This window comes from Homo sapiens, chromosome 19, assembly GCF_000001405.40.
Source record: "Homo sapiens chromosome 19, GRCh38.p14 Primary Assembly".
Taxonomy (NCBI): domain Eukaryota; kingdom Metazoa; phylum Chordata; class Mammalia; order Primates; family Hominidae; genus Homo; species Homo sapiens.
In genome coordinates, this window is record NC_000019.10 from 14691867 (window position 1) to 14714467 (window position 22601).

General features: G+C 49.5%; 1 protein-coding gene across 11 annotated transcripts in view; it reads left to right on the plus strand.

Annotated features, from left to right (window-relative positions):
- ZNF333 (zinc finger protein 333) overlaps nucleotides 1-22601 on the plus strand; it is a 43956-nt gene that overhangs the window by 2080 nt on the left and 19275 nt on the right. For 5 of the 11 annotated variants that reach the window (XM_011528362.3, NM_001300912.2, NM_001352244.2 and 2 more), the window contains exons 2-7: nucleotides 1585-1628; nucleotides 3144-3267; nucleotides 3700-3795; nucleotides 7333-7415; nucleotides 13188-13304; nucleotides 14820-14907. In XM_011528362.3, the coding sequence (XP_011526664.1) occupies nucleotides 1626-1628; nucleotides 3144-3267; nucleotides 3700-3795; nucleotides 7333-7415; nucleotides 13188-13304; nucleotides 14820-14907 (511 nt within the window). In that variant the 5' untranslated portion in view covers nucleotides 1585-1625. Of the gene's footprint in view, nucleotides 1-1584; nucleotides 1629-3143; nucleotides 3268-3699; nucleotides 3796-7331; nucleotides 7416-8339; nucleotides 10019-13187; nucleotides 13305-14224; nucleotides 14479-14819; nucleotides 14908-20192; nucleotides 21237-22601 lie in introns of those variants that run through there. The other 6 variants (NM_001352239.2, NM_001352240.2, NM_001352241.2 and 3 more) reach the window with 6 other exon arrangements.

The following is a 22601-nucleotide window of genomic DNA, read 5'->3' on the forward strand; positions in this document are numbered from 1 at the left end:
GGGTTTCACCATGTTGGCCAGGCTGGTCTGGAACTCCTGACCTCAGGTGATCCACCCGCCTCGGCCTCCCAAAGTGCTGGGATTATAGGCGTGAGCAACCATACCTGGCCTCATACTGTGTTTTGTGTGTGCGTGGGCATATTCCTTCTTAGGCTAGCTATACTGAGTCATTCTTGAGGAGTGTTGATTATTTGGCATATTTTCACTGGGGTGCCCTCAATGAATTGGACCCTGTACATGGGGAAACAGTGGGACTGAAATAGTTACAGTGCTTGCCCCTGTGGAGGCTTTATTCTAGCTAATAATATTGGTAAATTAATAGTGCCAAAGGCAATATGAGAACGTGGAACAGGAGAACTTGGGGAGGATGTCAGGAAACACATCTGAAAAGGAACAAATGTTTGAACCTTCAAGATGAGTTGTACGTAGCTAAACAAGGGGTCTAGCTGTGGAGTGGGGTAGCGGAGGAAACTTGAGAGAACATTCCAGATGTACAGTCTTTCAGGCAGTACGAAGCCTGCTGTGTTCCAGGAGCTGAGAACAGGTAGAGAAAGCTAAAGTAGAGAAAATAAAGTACTGAATGGATGAGCCAGGTGAGAGAGGGAGGCAGGTCCCTGAAGATCATGGTTAGCATTGGATCTTCTTTTTATTTATTTTTTTTCTTTCAGACAGAGTCTTGCTCTGTCACCCAGGCTGGAGTGCAGTGTGGGATCTGGGCTCACTGCAGCCTCCACCTCCCGGGTTCCAGCGATTTTCTGGCCTCAGCTTCCTGAGTAGCTGGGATTACAGGTGTGTGCCACCATGCCCAGCTAATTTTTGTATTTTAAGTAGAGATGGGGTTTCACCATGTTGGCCAGGCTGGTCTTGAACTCCTGACCCCAAGTGATCCACCTGCCTCGGCCTTCCAAAGTGCTGGGATTATAGGCATGAGCCACCGTGCTTGACCTGGACCTTATTCTTTTTTTTTTTTTCTTGACATGGAGTCTTAGTCTGTTGCCCAGGCTGCAATGCCGTGGCACGATCTCAGTTCACTGTAACCTCCGCCTCCTGGGTTCAAGCAACTCTACTGCCTCAGCCTCCCTCCCGAGCAGCTGGGATTACAGGCGTTTGCCACCATGCCCAGCTAATTTTTGTATTTTTAGTAGAGATGGGGTTTCACCATATTGGCCAGGCTGGTTTCAAATTCCTGACCTCAAGTGATCCACCCACCTTGGCCTCCAGCCTGAGCAACAGAGTGAGACTCAAAAAAAAAGGTTTACATCACAGTTGGAGAGAGAGAGGCCAAAATCGTTTAAGAAATAAATATCAAATCACACCTTCATATGGGCAGTGGAGGAAAAGTAGAAGATCTTAGAAGTATTTTGAGGGAAGCTAGAAGTTAAAATGTTCCTTTGATGACATGGGAAGAGTCAGTAGCAGTCACTAGAGGCTGTTGTTTGAAAGGTGCCTTGGGGGCCAACATGTTGCTTATGGAGATAAATGTCCTGTAAGGGTTTTGATTGTGACCACTCTGCTGGAGATCCCCCAAAATGCTCTGCTTCCGTCCTCACCCCTTCTTTTACCTCAGTGTCTCCTTTATTGCAGGGAGAACACCGACTGAGACCTCAAACCCTGGCTCCAGTGTCATGGTGAGGAAACTGGGGGCTCCTGTGGCTGAAGGGGTGGATATGTAGGATAACTATGTCCTCTGGGCCCTGTCTTCTCTCTCGCCACTTCCGTCCCCAACTGAGGAAGAAAGGGAAGGGTGAGTGAGGAGCATCCTCATCCCTGCCCTAGGGGACCTAGGGACTTCCTTCTGTGCCTGACCTCTAGAGGTGGCATGGAAGAAGAGTCCCACAGCAGACCCTGGGGCTCTGAGCGGAGCTCCTCCAGGGCCATCCTTGTCATCCCTGGTGAGACCTATTGAAAACACATGTGGCCATAGAAATATAAATTCAGCTTAAATTAATTAAGATTCAGTACATTTAGCCGGGCATGGTTGTGTGTGCCTGGAATCGCAGCTACTTGGGAGGTTGAGGTGGGAGGATAGCTTGAGCCCAGGAGATTGAGGCTGCATTGAGCTAGGATTGTGACCCTGCACTCCAGCCTAAGCTACAGAGTAAAACCTTGTCTCTAAAAAAAAAAAAAAAAAAAAAAAAATTAAAAAGTTTAAGCGCTCAGTTTCTCAGTCGCCCCAGTCACATTGCCCAAGTGCTCAACAGCCACATGTGCTGGTAGCCCCTTTCTGGAAAGCACAGGCATGGAACATTCCCATCATCAGAGAGTGATGTCTGTTGGACAGCACTGCTCTGAAGAATTCTGCAATTAAAAGGATTCTCAGATGAGGCCGGGCGTGGTGGCTCATGCCTGTAATCCCAGCACTTTGGGAGGCCGAGGCGGGCAGATCACTTGAGGCTGGGAGTTCAAGACCAGCCTGGCCAACATGGTGAAACTCTGTCTCTACTAAAAATACAAAAAGTTAGCTGGGTGTGTGGCACGTGCCTGTAATCCCAGCTACTTGGGAGGCTGAGGTAGGAAAATCGCTTGAACCCAGGAGGTGAAGGTTGCAGTGAGCCGAGATGGCGCCACTGCACTCCAGCCTGGACGACAGAGCAAGACTGTCTCAAAAAAAAAAAAGAAAAAAAGAAAAAGACTCTCAGATGCAATGGAAGTCCTACTTTCACAAGTATATAATTAAGGACGTAAGTCTTGGGGGATCCCAGGGACTTCACAGAAATTAAGCTTTCAATCCCAAATTTGTGATGCTGTGCCAATTTGTAATAAGGAGTTTAGGAAAAACTCTCTAAGCAGGGAGGGACAGGCTCTGCCATCACAAGTCAGTGGAGTTACACAGAGAGCCATAACTTTACACTTTAGGATTTATCCAAATGTTAAAAGAAAGTAAACATTTCAGCTTGGTGGCCCATGTGATCTCTGTCACAACTATTCAGTTCTGCCGTTGTGGCCTCAAAACAGCCATTGATGCATTGTAAATAAATGCACGTGGCTGTGTGCCAAGAAAACATTATTTACAAAAATAGGCTTTAGGCTGGATTTTCCATGCCTGCTGTGTCTGAACATTTTCTCTTCTCCAGTGATAACCAGTCGTTCTGCTCAGTGGTGGGGGTGGTATTTGCCGAGCCAGAATGTGTGTGCTGTTTTAGGAATCCGTCACCTTTGAGGATGTGGCCGTGGAGTTCATCCAGGAGTGGGCATTGCTGGACAGCGCACGGAGGAGCCTGTGCAAATACAGGATGCTTGACCAGTGCAGGACCCTGGCCTCCAGGGGTAAGGCTGGCGTCACCTGGCTCCTTCCTGTACGCAGGCACTAAATGCTTCTTAAGCGCCTGCCATGTGAAGAAGACAGACGTGGCTTAGGCTTTGTGGCACTTAGCGTCCACAGGATGACAAAGCTTCATCTGTTGCATTGACTTCTTTCCCTCTGTAGTAAGGCCCTGTTTGGGTCTCCTTGAATTTGGCCCCAGGCTTCTGAGGTGAGACAGCCTCAGCCCCTTGGGGCAGAGGGGAGGGTGTTTGTGGGTTGGGTCCTGAGTTCATTAGCTATTGGGCAAGATCCCTTTGCTACCCATCACACTTGCTCAGCCCAGAGAATCTGAAGCCCATATTGAAGCTGAAGGAGAGTTTGAGTTGAGAAACAAGAGTTTGTTTTCCCCTGCAAGCCCTCTCTCTCTCAGTGCCTGTGTCTTTCTTCATGTGCAGGAACTCCACCATGCAAACCCAGTTGTGTCTCCCAGCTGGGGCAAAGAGCAGAGCCAAAGGCAACAGAACGAGGGATTCTCCGTGCCACAGGTGTTGGTGAGTACCAGGCAGGCTGTGGATCCCCCGACCCCCCTGGTTGGGTGGTGTGCCTTGGGAAGTGTCAAGAGCATTTTCAAAGGCCCTTTGTTCTGAGGGGACATCGAAGGCCATTCGGAGTGAGGTTTCTCAAGTTCCTTTAGCTTCTCTTCTATTTTCACTTTCTAGCCCTCCTCTCCTACTTTCCTTTGGTTTCAGAAAAAGATTTGTTCTAATTTCTCTTAAAAAATTAGAGGGCCAGGTGTGGTGGCTCTTGCATGTAATCCCAGCACTTTGGGAGGCCGAGGCTGGTGGATCACCTGAGGTCAGGAGTTCGAGACCAGCCTGGCCAACATGGCAAAACCCCATCTCTACCAAAAATTAGCCGGATGTGATGGTGCACACCTGTAATCCCAGCTACTTGGGAGGCTGAGGCATGAGAATTGCTTGAACCTGGGAGGTAGAAGTTGCAGTGAGCCAAGATTGCATCACTGCACTCCAGCCTGGGGGATAGAGCGAGACTCTGTCTCCAAAAAACAAAACAAAGCAAAAATTAGAGCTATAAGTCACACACCATGAAATTCACCCCTTTAAAGTGTGCAGTTCAGTGGTTCACAACCTTGTGTAAACATCACCACTACCCAATTCCAGAACATTTTCATCACGCCAAGTAGAAACCCTGTCCCCATGGGCAGTTACTCCCCATTACCCCTCCCTCAGCCCCTGGCAGCCACTAATCTGCTTTCTGTCTCTATGGATTGTCCTATATAGACATTTGTATATGGAAATCGTATCATAAGTAGCCTTTGGTATCCGGCTTAGTATAATAGTTTTGTGTTGCAAGTAAGTTAGACTGGGTAGTTTATAAACAATAGAAGTTTATTTGACTCCTGGTTCTGGAGGCTGGGAAGTCTAAGGCTGAGGGGCTGCATCTGGTAAGGGCCTTCTTGCAGCATCATAACATGGTGGACGAGATCATGTTGCAAGAGAACAAGAGAGGCCCAGACTGGTTTTTACAGCAAGGCCACTCTTGAGATAACTAACCCCCTTCTGAAGTAATCACAGGGCAGATTCCTCGTGACCTAATCACCTTTTTTTTTTTTTTTTTTTTTTTTTGGGACAGAGTCTCGCCCTGTCACCCAGGCTGGAGTGCAGTGGTACGATCTCGGCTCACTGCAACCTCTGCGTCCTGGGTTCAAGCGATTCTCCTGCCTGAGTCTCCTGAGTAGCTGGGACTACAGGTGCACACCACCACACCCGGCTAATTTTTGTATTTTTAGTAGAGATGGGGTTTCACTGTGTTGGTCAGGCTGGTCGAGAACTCCTCATCTCGTGGTCCACCCACCTCAGCCTCACAAAATGCTGGGATTACAGGCGTGAGCCATTGTGCCCGGCCACCTAATCACCTTTTAAAGTTCCAGCTCTCAATACTGTTGTATGGGAATTGCTTCCAACCCATGAACTGTGGAGGACACACTTAAACTACAGCAGTATCTGTCTTCTTTCACTTAGCTTTATGTTTTCCAGATCCATCCATGTTGTAGCATGAATCAGAACTTAATTCCTTTTTTAAGGCTGAATAATATACATTGTATGGATAAGCTATATTTTGATTATTTGTTCATCAGTTGATAGACAGTTGGATTGTTTCTACTTTTTAGCTATTGTGAATAATGTTGCTGTGAATGTTTGTGTACAATATTTCTTTTTTCTTTTCTTTTTTTTTTTTTTTTTTTTTTGAGATAGGGTCTTGTTCTGTCGCCCAGGCTGGAGTGCAGTGGTGCAATCATAGGTCACTGCAGCCTCAGCCTTTTGGGCTCAAGCAATCCTCCCACCTCAGTCTCTTGAATAGCTGGGACCACAGGTGCATGCCCTCATGCCTGGCTAATTTTAAATTTTTTTCTAGAGACCATTCTTCCTATGTTGCCCAGGCTGGTCTTGAACTCCTGGGCTTGGGTGATCCTCCCACCTTGGCCTCCCAGAGTGGTGGGATTACAGGCGTGCGCCACCGTGCCTGGCCTTGTGTACAAGATTTATGTAGACATGTACTTAATTCTCTTAGGTATATACTGAGGAGCAGAATTGCTGGCTCATATGGTAATGCTATGCTTAACTTCTTGAGCAACTGTCGTACCACTTTCCAACACAGGTACACCATTTTACATTCCCACCAGCGGAGATGAGAGTTTTGATTTATCCACATTCTCGCCCATACTTGTCATCCAATTCCTCTTTAAATTTAACCTTTTTATGTATGTTCTTTGTCTAGTTCTTTCTTACTCTTTTTTCTAATAACATCTGCTTTCTGGAAATAGTCTCAGTCCTCATAGAATTCTTAGCTAGGAAATTGCCTCTCATTTTCCCCTCATTCCTATGACTGCCAGAGTCCACACATAGCCCTACATACAGATGCTGTCTTCCCTTTCAGGATCTTCCCAAGTCTAAGGTCAGTATTAAAAGCTGGGCTGGGCATGGTGGCTCATGCCTGCAGTCCCGGCACTTTGGGTGGATCACTTCAGGTCAGGAGTTCGAGACCAGCCTGGCCCAACATGGTGAAACCCTGTCTCTACTAAAAATACAAAAATTAGCCTGACATGGTGGTGCGCGCCTGTAATCCCAGCTACTCAGGAGGTTGAGACACTAGAATCACTTGAACCTGGGAGGCGGAGGTTGCAGTGAGCCGAGATCATGCCATTGTACTCCAGCCTGGGCGACAGAGTGAGACTCCGTCTCAAAAAAAAAAAAAAAAAAAAAATTAGCTGGGCATGGTGGTGCATGCCTGTAATCCCAGCTACTTGGGAGGCTGAGGCACAAGAATTGCTTGAACCTGGGAGGTGGAGGTTGCAGTGAGCCAAGATCGCACCACTGCACTCCAGCCTGGGTGACAGAGTGAGACCCTATCTCAAAAATAAAAAGTAAAGAAAACATGTGGCTCATGCCTGTAATCCCAGCACTTTGGGAGGCTGAGGTGGGTGGATCACAAGGTCAGGAGTTCAAGACCAGCCTGGCCAAGATGGTGAAATCCTGTCTCTACTAAAAATACAAAAAAAATTAGCCAGACGTGGTGGCGGGTACCTGTAATCCCAACTACTTGGGAGGCTGAGGCAGAGAATTGCTTGAACTCAGGAGGCAGAGGTTGCAGTGAGCCAAGATTGCGCCACTGCACTCCAGCCTGGGCGAAAGAGCAAGACTCTGTCTCAAAAAAAACAAAAAACAAAAAACAAAAAACATGTATGTGTGTACACACACACAAATATAGATATATATATATATATATATATATATATATATATATACACACATATATATTTTCAATTTTATGCCACTATTTCTTTTTGAAAGGAGTTTATTTTTTCCCAATTCATTTCAGACTGGAAATCTCAACTTGAATATATGTATTCGGTATTAAAATTTGAATATTTATATTCAACATTAAAAGAAAAAGCCTATGTGTGTATAGTGTGTATATATATTCACATATATATGTGAATATATATTTTCAATTAATGTCACTATTTCTTTCTGAAAGGAGTTCATTTTTTCTCCCATTCATTTCAGCCTGGGAATCTCAACTTAAACCCGAAGAGTTGCCTTCTATGCAGGATCTTTTGGAAGAAGCATCCTCCAGGGACATGCAAATGGTAAGATGCACGGGGTTTTCCCCGGCTCCCAGCATGGGAGAAGTTGAGGAACACGTGAGGTGGAAATACAGGACCAGAGCCAGGGAGATGTTAGCAGCATGGGTGTCTCTTGGAAGGGAAACAGTGTCTGAGGGGAGTGCCTGTGACTTCTGAATTTGGGCAAACCCAGACTGTTGCTCAAGACTTTTTTTTTTTTTGAGACAGAGTCTTGTTCTGTCACCCAGGCTGGAGTGCAGTGGCATGATCTCGGCTCATTTCAGCCTCCACCTCCCAGGATCGAGTGATTTTCCTGCTTCAGCCTCCCGAGTAGTTGGGACTGCAGGCGTGCACCACCACGTCTGGCTAATTTTTGTATTTTTTGGTAGAGACAGGGTTTCACTGTGTTGGCCAGGCTGGTCTCGAACTCCTGGCCTCAAGTGATCTGCCTGCCTCAAGATTCTTTTTTTCTAGAAGGTTTCCTGAAGGAAACATTTTAATAAATGTGAGTCAGACATTGAGCGTGCGAAATACGACTTCCTCCTCAGCAACTGTCAGAAAAACCCCTCCTGGTAGAGAAGCCCCATTGTGAATAGGAGGCAGCCCTGTGGTAGAGCTGGCAACACACTCGACGAACTCCAGCTGTCTAAACAAGGCATGGCTTGAAAATGCTGAGAATATGCTCCCGGTGGGGAGGACCCCTGGGCACTGGCACAGATATTGGCGAGCTTTCCACCATCATTCACCTCTTTTTTTGGTTTTTAAAAGACAGGGTCTTGCTCTGCCACACAGGCTGGAATGCAGTGGCATGTTCATGGCTCACTGCAGCCTCAAACTCCTGGGCTCAAGCGATCCTTCTACCTCAGCCTCCCGAGTACCTGGGACCACAGGCCTGAGTCACCATGCCCAGCTAATTTTTTTCTTTTTCTTTCTTTTTTTTTTTCTTAGAGATGGGGTCTTGCTATGTTGCCCAGGATGATCTCGAACTCCTGGCCTCATGTGTTCCTCCCACCTCAGCCACCCAAGTAGCTGGGACTACAGGTGTGAGCCAGTGGGCCCAGCCATTACTCACCTCTTGTCAGGAGCAAGCTCCACCTGGAGAAAAGGCTCCTGATGAGTTGAAAGGAGGCAGGAAATGTTTCTGGAGGAGCTGTAACCTGGATGTGGGTGAGAGAACTGGCAAGACAGAGGCCACTTTGATTGGAAAGAATGTGGGAAAGTTGTTGGGCATCCTTTTCTTCTTAGGAGACCAGTCTAGATCCCACACTGGAAGGAAGCCCTTTTCAGTGTGGAAAAAGCCTTCCATATGAGCTTGTACATTAATAGTACAGGAGAAAATATACACGGAGTCCCCACCATCCCCCCTTTGGCCCTGAATTTCCTCCGCCTCAAACAAGAGGACCTTCCAAAGTTTGAGTTCCCATTCCTGAGTATTGGTGAAAGTTAGAGTTAGGGTTTGGTTAGAAGGAGGCACAGAGCTCAGCCTCACCCCCAAGTGGGGCGTATTAGTCCCAGGGTCAGTGAGAACCCCGGGATCCCTCAGTCAGTGCCCCTTCCCCTGTGTCATGGATGGGTGTCAGCATCAGAGCGTCAGGGATGCCCCACACAGTGGATGGGGTGCAGTGGCCTCGGTTTTAGAGACCCACATTCAACTTCTTTGCCAGGGAAGCTTCTGGAACACAGAGAAGCCTCAACCCTGTGCAGCTTGGTGTGGGCTGCAGATCAGCCAAAACTCACAACCTGCCTGGCTGCAACAGACCCCTGGGCAGCTGACAGCCCTCCTCACTCCCCAGGCCCTCCTCGCCCTTGGTTTACACTCTTGTTTTGGTGGAGAACACCCTCCAGTAGCTCCTTGGGATCAGGTGCTTGGGTTTTGAGACCTTGACTTCTGAGAATGTCTTATCAGGGCTGCTGGATTGCAGGTTCCTCATCCGATGTGGTGGTTGCGGTAAGCCTCATTACAGAACATCCTTTTTTCTTTCTTTTCTTTTTAAATAGATATGGGGTCTTGTTCTGTCACCTAGGCAGGAGTGCACTGGCACGATCATAGCTCCCTGTAGCTTTGAACTTATTAGCTCAAGTGCTCTTCCTGCCTCAGCCTCCTCCCGAGTAGCTGGGACTACAGGCACGCACCACTACACCTGGCTGATTTTAAAAAATTGTTTTGGAGACGAAGTCTTGCTGTGTTGTGCAGGCTCCCATTGCAGGGCATTCTGTGTGTCATGTAGCCCCCAGTGCTTGTTGAATGAAGGAAGGAATGGATAAGGTGTTGCAGAAGGCATCTCCAGTTCCCATCCTCCACCTCCATGTCTCTCTTGCTCAGCAGGTGGACCCCATGTGAAGAAAGGAGAGAGGGAGGGAGAATGAGCAACGAGGGCCCGGTGCCCTCTTTGTTTCTGTGGGCTCTCTCCTTTCAGTACAGGGCTCCAGTGCCCTCCACAGAACTCCACACCCAGCCCAGCAAGCCCCTCCATAATGGGTGCTGAGAGTGGCAGGCATGGGGCTCTTGTTACATCAGAGCCCCAGGAAACAGGCGGTCACAGACTATTCTGAGTGGGCAGAGGAGGTCCACCTATGGACACACGTTTAGAGAAGCTGAGGAGTTCATCCCTGAAGACATCCAGCCCGTGAGTAGTAGAGGTGGGTTTGGAGCTAGGAGTTGAACCCAGACCTAACCGCAGAGACCACAGTCTCAGCTGTCAGGTTCTACTGCCTGACGATCATACAACCTGCTGCTGGGTTGATGGTGCTGACCCTTTAGGTAGCCCTTCCAGGCCATGCCAGGCATCATTGTGCCTTGTCACAATCATTGAGACCCTGTATGGTGGCTCCGAGACCTCCCTGTCACATGGGAAAAAGTGCTGATGGCCAGGGACAGATTGAGTCCCCATGGCCTCCCTCTCTTTGGTCGGCTGGTCCAGCAGAGGGACCAGTGAAGAGGAGGGTGGGAAACTGCTCTTAGAAGAGTCCCAAGGAAGCCAGGCACAGGGCCTCACCCCAGAATCCCAGCAACTCCGGAAGCTGAGGTGGGAGGACCACTGGAGCCCAGGATTTTGAAACCAGCCTGGGCAATATAGCAAGAACCCATCTCTGCAAAACATACAAAAATTAGTCATGGCTAGGTGTGGTGGTGTGCACCTGTAGTTCAGCTACTTGGGAGGCTAAGGCGAGAAAATTGCTTGAGCCCAGGAATTCAAGGCTGCAGTGAGCCATGTGTTTGCACCACTGCTCTCCAGCCTGGGTGACGGAGCAGGATTCTGTCTCAAAAAAAGAAAAATAAAACTCCCCAAGGGAGGCTGAGGAACAGGCCTCTCCAGGCTCAGCCCTTCTTCTGTCCCAGGCCCACCCCACAGCTGCCTCTTCTGCAGACACCTGGCTCCTTGAGGCTGCAGTGTTGCTGCTTTCATCCTCTGCTGCATCCGCAGGGCCTGCACTAGCAGTGCCCATGTCTTAGTCTGTTCTCACCCTGCTGATAAAGAGATACCCGAGTTGGGTCATCTATAAAGGATGCAGGTTTAATTGACTCACAGTTCAGCATGGCTGGGGAGGCCTCAGGAAACTTACAACATGGCGGCAGGGGACGCAAACACATCCTTCACATGGTGGGCAGCAAGGAGAAGTATAAACAAAAGGGGGAAAAACCCCTTATAAAACCATCAGATCGTGGCCGGGCGTGGTGGCTCACACCTGTAATCCCAGCACTTTGGGAGGCCGAGGCGGGCGGATCATGAGGTCAGGAGATCGAGACCATCCTGGCTAACATGGTGAAACCCCGTCTCTACTAAAAATACAAAAAATTAGCCGGGCGTGGTGGCGGGCGCCTGTAGTCCCAGCTACTTGGGAGGCTGAGGCAGGAGAATGGCGTGAACCCCAGGGGGCGGAGCTTGCAGTGAGCCGAGATCGCGCCACTGCACTCCAGCCTGGGCGACAGCAAGACTCCGTCTCAAAAAAAAAAAAAAAAAAAACCATCAGATCTTGTGAGAACTCACTCACTATTTCGAGAACAGCAGCATGGGGGTAACTGCCTCCATGATTCAATTACCTCCCACCGGGTCCCTCCCATGACATACGGGGATTATGGGAACTACAATTCAAGATGAGATTTGGGTGGGGACACAGCCAGACCATATCAGCCCAGTACATATTTGTTCGACAAATAGGCAGAACGCCTAAAAACAGTTTCTTTAAGTTGAGTGACCTGTGTCAAAATGATTCTGATGGAAACATTTGTCTCAAAATGTACCCGTGGGATTTTGATTTATGACACAGAGAGGCCAATGTCATTGGAAAATTTTGATTACTTGTATTTCCTGGGAGGACAGGGCACACCATGCCACACAGGTCCACACAGGGAAGCACCAAGGTCAGCCTGGAGGCAGAAAGGAGCGAGGGGATAGCCCAGGCCAGAGCCTTTCTTGGAGTTTCCACAGGGTAAACCACTCAGGATTTGTCAGTTTGAATAATTTTAGTGGACCTTGGGGGATAGGTGCTGTCCCTGGTTGATTTAGGGCAGGGGAAATATTGGCTGGGTGAGAGTGAGATAAGGAGCTGGTACGGCATGTGGGCTGTGGGTCACGGGATTTGGAGATGAAGTTGGCAGGCAGTTTGGCCCTGTGAATGATGGATGCCCTGTGGACAAGGACAGCATTCCTGTTCAGAACCAAGATCTCCCGACCTTGCTTTCTTTTTTGGTTTTTGGGTGACTTAAACAGCAGAAACTTATTTTCTCACCCTTATGGAGGCTGGAAGCCCAAGATCAAGGTGGCGGCAGGGCTGGGTTCTCCTGAGGACTCTCTCCTTGGCTTGCAGGTGGCCACCCTCCTGCTGCCTCTTCACACGGCCATCCCTCTGTGCCACACCTTTCTATAGTGAAATGTCTCATAGCCTCTTCAGGGGCTCTGTCCTAACCTCAGGTCTGTCTTTGTATCTGCAGTGTGTTCAAGCCTCGAGACCCTCGGTGGTAGCTGGTGACTGCCGTAGGTGGGGAGTAGTTACTAGGTCTGAGGCTACCAGATGTCAGACCTGTGTACCCTGACTTTTTTTTTAAGACACAATCTCGCTCTGTCGTCCAGGCTGGAGTGCAGTGTTGTGATCTCAGCTCACTGCAACTTCTGCCTCCCAGGTTCAAGTGATTCTCATGCTTCAGCCTCCTAAACAGCTGGGAGCTTAGATGTACACTACCACACTTGGCTAATTTTTGTATTTTTAGTAGAGATGGGTGTATTAGTCTGTGTTCACACTGCTGATAAAGACATACCCGAGACTGGGCAATTTACAAAAGAGAAAGGTTTAATTGGACTTACAGTTCCATGTGGCCAGGGAAGCCTCACAATCATGGCAGAAGGCAAGGAGGAACAAGTCACGTCTTACATGGATGGCAGCAAGTAAAGAGACCTTGTGCAGGGAAACTCCCCTTATAATAACCATCAGATCTCGTGAGACTTACTCATTATCACGAGAACAATCATGGGAAAGACCTGTCCCCATGAATCAGTTACCTCCCACTGGGTCCCTCCCACAACACGTGGGAATCCAAGATGAGATTTTGATGGGGACAGAGCCAAACCATATCAATGGGGCTTCGCCATGTTGGCCAGGCTGCTCTTGAACTCCTGGCCTCAAGCAATTCTTCACCTCAGCCTCCCAAAGTGCTGGGATTATGGGCATGAGCCACTGCACCCATCCCCATTTGCCTTGACTTCTGGCAGCCCTAAGCCCCAAACCAAAGGTCTCTCGGGCTGAGAACAGCTGTGGTGCCAACTCTGTCCTGCTCAGCACCCTCTTGTCTTTTGCCAGGGGCCGGGGCTGTTCCTGAGGATGCAGCTGGTGCCCTCCATAGAAGAGAGGGAGACACCATTGACTCGAGAGGACCGGCCAGCTCTCCAGGAGCCGCCTTGGTCTCTGGGATGCACGGTAAGCCTGGGAGAGGTTCACTGTGATGGCACCAGGTGCAGTCAGGAAGGCCTGGGGTGTGGGTTGTCTGTAAATTGGGGGAGGGGAGGGAAAGGAGGGTGTTTGGGGCCTGTAGGAGGCCCAGGCTGTGGGCTTGGGGTGGTGGAGTCTGTTTCTGTGTTGAATATACTTGTCCCCAGGGTGATGGCGGGCTCCAGGGCGGGTCCTGGGGGAGGGTCTGGTTGTTGGACTGTAGGCCCTGCCTTTCCTGGTCCAGCCTTTTTTCTTCCTGTCCTTCCACCCCAGCCCCACTGCTTCCATAACCTCGAAACTGACAGGAACTGGCAGGTCCTATGACCTGAGGGCTGGGCAAGGGAGCATCCAGGCTCAGGGAAGTGAGGACCTCTTGGCTCAGGGCCCTGCGTGTCCTTACCAAGGCAGAGAGAGAATGGGAGAGAGATGCCGTAAGGCAAGGGTCCCTAACCCCCAGGCCGTGGACCAGTACTAGCCCCTAGCTTGTTAGGAACCAGGCTGCAGAGCAGGAGGTGAGCGGCGAGCATCCATGCCTGAGCTCCGCCTCCTGTCGGATCAGCAGCAGCTGATCCTATTGTGAACTGTGCATGCGAGGGATCTAGGCTGCAGGCTCCTTATGAGAATCTAACTAATGCCTGATAATTGAGGTGGAACAGTTTCATGCTAAAACCATACCCCTACCCTGCTTTGTGGAAAAATTGTCTTCCATGAAACTGGTCCCTGGTGCCAAAAAGGTTGGTGACTGCTGCTGTAAGGCACGTCCTGAGCCCTGCATGAGGAGAAAAGGCCTCTTCCCACTCGTCCCTGCCCTGTTCCCTCCCCCGAGGGACCTGCTGCATGTACCCCCCAACCTCCCATCCACCACCAAGTCCTGCTAGCGTTATTTCCAAAATGTAACCCACCTCCAGCTGCCTCTCCTGTCCCTGCTGCTGCCATCCTGCCCAGAGCCACCGTTAGTTCTCCTGGACTCCAGTTCTGCTCCTGACAGGCACCTGGGCTCCACCCTGGACACAGAGGCCAGAGGGATCCCTTAGAAGTGCAAGTCAGGTCAGACGTGTTTCCTGAGCGAGCAGCTGCCAGCAGAGAAGAGACCACATCCTACTCCAAGGAGAGGTCTTCCTCCCAGAAAAACTCACTGACTGCCTGCTCCGCATTCACGCAGGTCCACCTCCAAACTCCATCTTCCCTCCACCCCTCAACCTCCTGGCCATCCACTCCCCACTTTTTTCCCAGCTTTTCCCTGACTTCTGGAGCCTCCTTGGAGGGTGCCACCTTCCCCAGCCCCTGCCTGGGTGCCCTCTCTCCAGGCCATTTTGGATCACAGTGATTAGCTTTGTATTTAAGGATTGGGTAAATCCTGACAAGGTAAATGGGTCTCTCTCTTCTTTTATTAATATGTTCCCCAAAGCAGGATCAAATATGCACGTTCATTTGGGGTGAGCAGGTGTGAGTGGCCCCCTCAGCTTCTTGACTCTAATCTGTGACCCCTGTCACTCTGTCCAGGGACTGAAGGCCGCTATGCAGATTCAGAGGGTGGTGATACCAGTGCCTACTCTGGGCCACCGCAACCCATGGGTGGCCAGGGATTCTGGTGAGTGAGTGCTGCGTGGAACACGTGGCCAGAGGGCCCTGCTGTCCTTGTGTTCTGTCCAGGAACTTGTATCCTATCCTGCCTGCATTTCCTCTGACTGCAGGCACTGCCGTGGCACCATAGAGAGGATACAGAAGGCCTCTCTCATTATTTGTGTGTTTAAGTGGGAGGGCACTTCCAGTGACAGATCTTTAAGAAAGAGAGGGCTCACTCAACCACAGCAAAGGCCAGACCTCTCTTTGGGCAACATGAAATTCTTGACTACACGATAATGTTGATTTTGAAAAATTATGATTGAATTTACTAGAAATGGCCTGTGTTTTAACTGTGTTTTTATAAATGAGGTTCAGGCCGGTTGCAGTGGCTCATGCCTTTAATCCCAGTGCTTTGCAAGGCCTAGGCGGGAGGATTGCTTGAGGCCAGGAGTTCAAGACCAGCTTGGGTAACATGGTGAGACCCCTATTTCTAAAAAAAAAAAAAAAAAAAAAATTAGCTGTGCATGGTGCCTCTCAAGTCCCAGCTACTTAAGAGGCTGAGGCAGGAGGATCGCTTGAGCCCAGGAGGTCAGGGCTGATGTGAACTACAGTCGCTTTATTGCACTTTGCAGCCTGGGTGACAGAATGAGTCCCTGTCTCTAAAGAAATAGGTTCAAAGCCACTTCTCCTGAGAAGTGGGGAAGAAATTAATTCTAGAAGACAAATAACATTTTAACTTTAACAGTAAGGTGTTTGTTTTCTTCTAGTTGGCCTTCTAGTAAGAATAATAAGCTTTGTTTCTTTTTTTTTTTTTTTTTTTTGAGACGGAGTCTCACTCTTTCGCCCAAGCTGGACTGCAGTGGCACTATCCCGGCTCACTGCAAGCTCCGCCTCTTGGGTTCATGCCATTCTCCTGCCTCAGCCTCCCGAGTAGCTGGGATTACAGGCGCCCACCACCACGCCCGGCTAATTTTTTGTATTTTTAGTAGAGACGGGGTTTCACCGTGTTAGCCAGGATGGTCTCGATCTCCTGACCTCGTGATCCGCCCGCCTCGGCCTCCCAAAGTGCTGGGATTACAGGCGTGAGCCACCGCGCCCGGCCATAAACTTTGTTTCTTAAAAGTGCCATCCACTCTTGTGTCTGGAATCTCTGTTTTCTTCTTGACAGGGAACAATTCTTAGATCTAAGTCTTGTGTTGCTCTTCAGTATATTTTTGGTAAGTCTTCTGGGCCAGGCTCTATTTTGTTACTTCTTCTTTTTTTATTTTATTTTAATTGAGACAGCATCTCGCTCTGTCACCTGGGCTGGAGTGCAGTGGCACGATCTCGGCTCACTGCAACCTCTGCCTCCCGGGTTCAAGCGATTTTCCTGCCTCAGCCTCCCGAGTAGCTGGGATTACAGGGGTGCGCTACCATGCCCGGCTAATTTTTGTATTTTTAGTAAAGACGGGGTTTCACCATGTTGGCCAAGCTGGTCTCGAACTCTTGACTTCAGGTGATCCGCCCACCTCGGCCTCCCAAAGTGCTGGGACCACAGGTGTGAGCCACCGTGCCTGACCTATTTTGTTACTTCTTGAAGCGGGTAACACCACTACTGTCATCCGATGGTGAGATGGGGACCAGGAAACAGTCACAAAGAAAACACCGACCCCTCCTCCGTGGAGCTCACGGTCAGCTGGGTGGTCAGAGTTCGAAATGAATAACAGAGTCCAGTGGAAGTGTGTTATACAAGGACTTCATCTCAGGGGACGGGAGAGTTCTGGGAAAGGATGGATATTTAAGCTTAGGCCAGGGTTTCTCAACTGCAGCACTGCTGATAATGGGCTACTGCAGCACTGCTGATAATGGGCCTGTTCACTCTCAGCTGTGGGCCGTCCTGTGCATTATAGGATGCTGAGCAGCATCCCTGGCCTCAACTCACTAGATGCTACGAGCACTTTTCCTCTATGAGTTTGCTAGGGCTGCCATATCAAAGTTCCACCAGCTGGGTGGATTAAACAGCAAAAATATATTGTCTCACCGTTCTGGAGGCCAGAAGCTCGAGAGCAAGGTGTTGGCAGTGTTGGTTCCTTTTGAAGCCTCTCCTTGGTGTGTAGATGGCCATCTTCTCTCTATATCTTCACATCATCTTCCCTCTGTCCATGTCTGTGTCCAAATGTCGTCTTCTTGTGATAGGGTTTGGATTTGTGTCCCCACCTAAATCTCATGTCAAATTGTAATCTCCAGTGTTGGAGGAAGGGCTTGGTGGGAGGTGACTGGATCATGGGGGTGGACTTCCCCCTTGCTGTTCTCTTGATAGTGAGTGAGTTCTCACGAGATCTGGTTGTTTAAAAGTGTGTAGCACCTCCCCCTTCACTCTCTTCCTCCTGCTCCAGCCATGTAGCACGTGCCTGCTTCCCCTTTGCCTTCCGCCATGATTGTAAGTTTCTCGAGTCCTCCCCAGCCATGCGTCCTGTACAACCTGTGGAACCAGGAGCCAATTAAACCTCTTTTCTTTATAAATTCCCCAGTCTCAGGTAGTTCTTTATAGCAGTGCAAAGCAGACTAATACGTCTTGTGAGTACACCAGTCATATTGGGCTAGGGCCCGCCCTACTGACATCATTTTAATTTAATTACCTCTAAAGACTCTATGTTCAAATATGGTTACCAGGGGTGAGATAAGATACTAGGGGTTAAGACTTCAAGATATGAATTTTTGAGGTAATACAATTCAGCTCATAACAGCCACATACCCCCTAGTCATGAAAAGCTAAAATGTCTCTAGATGCTGCAGACTGAATTGTGCTCCCCTTCTCCAAGTTCATGTTGAAGCCCTATTGTCTCCCCCGAAGGTGCCATTGGAAATGGGACCTCTAAGGAGGTGATAAAGGTTAAATAAGGTCATAAGGGTGAAGCCCTGAACCAACAGAACTCATGCCCTTACAAGAAGAGGAAGAGACACCAGAGCTCTCTCGCCCATGTGAGGACACAGCCAGAAGGCAGCCATCTGCAAGCCAGGAAGGGAGCCCTCACCAGGAACCAACCATGCTGGCATCCTGATCTCAAACTTCCAGCATCCAGAACTGTTAGCAGCAAATTTCTGTTAAGTCACCTAGCGCATGGTATTTTGGAATGACAGCTCGACAGCTCAACACCAGACATTGCCAAATGTCCCCTGGGGGTCAAACCCTGACCTAGACCATGATAAATACTATAACATTTAGCTTGGTCAGCTGTTGGGCTGTCAGGAGGTTCGGAGAGAGGATATCAGGCTTAGGAACAACATTGATAAAATTCCCCATGGAGCAGAGAACTGGTTGCATCCAGGGCCCATGGAAGATGGTGTGAAGGCAGCAGGGAGAAGTGGAGAGAGAGTGGTGTGAGCTGACTGAAGAAGAAGCAGCTTCCAGATTGTTCAGGGCTTGGAAGTGCAGGAAAAGAACCTTGGCCCATGTTCTAAGCCCGCTGGGAGCCAGTGACGTGTTTAGGTGAGTGGTGCAATGCACCTGTGGTTTTAACAGAACCGCACCCCCCAGCCCACCTGTGAGGAGCGTGGGCTCAGGGAGGAAAGCAGTGGTAGGTGGAGGCCATTAGGAGTAGAATGGTGCTGGTCTAGACTTGGGGGTTGAGTGTGGAGGAGGTGTGCTGGGTTCCCCCAAGACCACCCCAGTCTTGATGATCCACTAGGAGGACTCACAGGAGATGTCGTACTCGTGGCTGTGATTTATTACCAGAAGTGGATATGAAGCAGAATCAGCAAAGGGGGTGCCAGGTGTGGTGGCTCATGCCTGTAATCCCAGCACTTTGGGAGGCCAAGGTGGGTAGATCACTTGAGGCTGGGAGTTTGAGACCAGCCTGGCCAACATGGCGAAACCCTGTCTCTACTAAAAATGTAAAAATTAGCCGAGCATGGTGGTGCATGTCTGTAATCCCAGCTACTTGGGAGGTTGAGGCAGGAGAATTGCTTGAACCCGGAAGGCGGAGGTTGCAGTGAACCAAGATTGCGCCACTGCACTCCAGCCTGGGCGACAGAGTGAGATTTCCTTCTTAAAAAATAAAAAAATAAATAAAAGTAAATAAAAGAAGTGTATCTGACTCATGGTTCTGTGGGCTGTACAAGAAGCACGGCACCAACATCTGCTCCTGGCGAGGGCCTCAGGCTGCTTCCACTTAGGTCAGAAGGGGAAGGGAAGCCAGTGTGCGGAGATCACATGGTGAGGGAGGAAGCAGGAGCGGGGGCAGTGGGGGAGGGAAGGGAAGGGAAGGGGGAAAGGTGCCAGGCTCTTTTTAACAACCAGCTTCCTTGGAAAGTAGTAGAAGAGTACTCCTTCTCTCTGAGGGAGAGCGTTAATCAATTCTTGAGGGATCTGCCCCCAAGTCCCGCCTCCGACACTGGGGATTAACGTTTTGGTGTGAGTTTTGGAGGAAACAAACAGTCCCTAAATTCCAGACTTTCAGAAGGAAAGCAGGTGTTCAACATAAACTGCATTGTTTGTACAAGCAGTTTAAGTGGAGCGAGTTTCTCTTACCAGTTAGGGGGGCGGGAACCTTCCTGAAATCCAAGTTCCCAGACTCCACCCAAGGGCCAACCTTGCAAACACATCTCATTAAGGAGCCCATCCAGGCCTGCTGGGTTAACGCCTTTCTGCACAGTAGGGAAGTGAGGAATGATTTAAAACACATAGAGGCCAGCACTTTGGGAGGCTGAGGTGGGAGGACTTCTTGAGGCCAGGAGTTGGAGACCAGCCTGGGCAACATAGCGAGACCCCATCTCTACAAAATAAGAAAATTAGCCAGGCATGGTTGTGTGCACCTGTGGTCTCGCTACTCAGGAGGCTGAGGAGGGAGAATCACTTGAGCCCAGGAATTGAAGGCTGCAGTGAGCTAGTCCAGCCTGGGTGAGAGAGCAAGACCCTGTCTCAAAAAAATTATAGTAATAATGCATATAAAACATTTATATTGAGGAGGTTGAGTTGATTTGGTGGTTCATGTATTCATTTACCAATGACATGGAGCATTTTTGTGCCAAGTAAGGTATCGGGGACAGGATGGTGAAAGGCACCCAGGCTTATTCTTACAAAGCTTCCAATCCAGTGAGGATGACAGAAAAGAAACACTCATGGCAGCAATACATAGCTGGTTACAGATGGGTAAGGGCTGCGAAGAAAGGGAAGGGGTCCTATCAGAGAAAAGGAGAGAAGGGGCTCTTTCTACAGGGGAGGAGACCTCAGGATGGGGCACTCTGAGGGCGACGTTTCAGTGGATCCAAAAAGAAAAGGCTCTATGTAGGTGTTGGCTGTAGCGGGAATGGGTGGGAGAGGGGCTTGGGGGTGAGTACCGCCATGTAGAGACGTCATCACTATTTATTCTGATTAGTTGCTGGGATCTGTAGAGTGTCAGAGAGGGGTGAGATTTCTGATCAAAGACAGGGGCAGCACTTCCTGAGATTGAGGACATGGTTAGGGAGAGCAGGCTTTGGGAGGACGGTGATGAGTGTTTTTTTTTTTTAAGACATAGTCTTGCTCCGTTGCCCAGGCTGGAGTGCAGTGGTGCAATCTTGGCTCACTGCAAACTCCATCTCCTAGGTTCACGTGATTCTCGTGCCTCAGCCTCCCGAGTGGCTGGGACTACAGATGTGTGCCACCACGCCCAGCTAATTTTTGTATTTTTAGTAGAGACGGGGTTTCGTCATGTTGGCCAGGCTGGTCTCAAACTCCTGACCTCAAATGATAATGCTGGCCTCTGCCTCCCAAAGTGCTGGGATTACAGGTGTGAGCCACTGTGCCTGGCCTAGTTTTTTTGTAACAGAAATTTCTCTTTCACAATTTAGGATACCAAAAGTCCGAAATTAAGGTGTCGACAGGGCCGTGCTCCCTCTGATGGCTCGGGGGGGAGGATCCTGCCACCTGCTTTCTAACAGTGGCCTGCAGCCCTTGGTGCTCCTTGGCTTGTGGATGCAGCCCTCCCGTCTCTGCCTGTGTTGCCTCATGGCTGTGTCACCTCTGTGTATCTGTCTCTGTCTCTTCTGTTAGGAGAACCATCATATTGGATTAAGGGCCTACCCTATTCTCCTGTCGTCTCAACTCATTACATCTGCAACAATCCTATTTCCAAATAAGGTCACATTTTGAAGTACTGGGGGTTAGGACTTCTCTTTTTTGGGGGGTTCACAGTTCAAACCATAGCAGTCTGTTCTCTAGTCCCCCCAAATTCATGTCCTTTCCACATGCAAAATACACTCACGTGGTCCCAAAGTTTTAATCCATTCCAGCGTCAACTCTAAGTGCAAAATCTCATCTAAGCACCATCAACTCAAAGTTTCATCTCATCTGATGAGAATCCCACAACTCTTCATGTCAGTCATCTACAGCAGGTATGAGGGAGACTCAGAGTGTGGTCCATTGTGGGGCAAAATTCCTCTCCATCTGCGAACCTGTGAGAAATCAGAAAGCAAGTGATCTGCTTCCAAAATACGGTGATGGGGCAAGCAAAGGATAGACATTCCCATTTCAAAAGGAGAAAAAGGGGTCATGGGTCCTGAGCAAGTTTAAAACCCATCAGGGCAAATGCTATGAGGTTTCCAGGCCTGGAACAAATCCTCTATGGTTGGAAGCTCTGACCTCTGGACCTCATTTTGGGTACCTTCTATTCCTGTTCCCTTAGATGGGCAGAAAGATTTGAGCCAATGGTTGGATACATGGTCTGGTGTTCAGATGTGAGAGTCAGCCTGGAGATTTGGGCTTCATCATGAAGTTTGGGAATTGACACCCAGAGAATGGGTGAGGTTGCACACCAAGGCAGAGAGAATTGAGGGAGACACGAAGAGGAGGGCCTGCAACCTGTGGACGCCAGCAACATGTTGGAGAAGAAGCTCTTACAGGAAAAAGAGGAGGCTGGGGTTGTGATCACTGATCACAGGCTGGGTGGGCTACAAGAAGGAGGGATTGGCTAGGTGCAGTGGCTTGCAGCTATAATCCTGGCTACTCAGGAGGCTGAGGTGGGAGGATCGCTTGAGGCTAGGAATTCAAGGCTAGCCTGGGCAACATAGTGAGACCCCCATCTCTAAAAAAATAAAAAAAAAATTAACAGGGTGTGGTGGTGCACACGTGTAGTCTCAGCTACTTGGGAGGCTGAAGTGGGAGGATCACTTGGGCCCAGGAGTTTGAGGCTGCAGTGAGCTGTGATTGTGCCACTGCACTCCAGCCTGGGTGACAGAGCAAGACTCTGGCTCAAAACAACAACAAACCCAGGAGAGATTGGATGATGAGCACACATCAGTGGGATTTCCCAGCACGGATGGAGGTCACTGGTGATTCCAGGGTGGTGCCAGCCCTTGGAACGGTGGAGATGGGAAGCAAGTGGGAGGGGAGGAAGTGGGCACAGAGGGTAGATAGCCCATGATAGGGAATGAAGAGATAGAGGTAGCCCAAGGGAAAAGTGGGGTGTTATGGCTTGAATTGTGCCCCTCCAAAAAGACATGCTGAAGTCCTAACCCTGTGAATGTGGCCTTATTGGAAATAGGGTCTTTGCAGCTGTAACCAAGTTAGGAGGTCACAAGGTTGGGCCCCAATCCAACATGACTGTGTCCTTATGAGAAGAGGAAGACGCCACGTGAAGACAGACACGCAGGGAGGGGACCGTGCGACGGTGGAGGCAGACATTGGAGTGATGCATCCACAAGCCAAGGAGCCCCAAGTGTCGATGGCCGCCACCAGAAGCCAGGGAGGGGCAAGGAAGG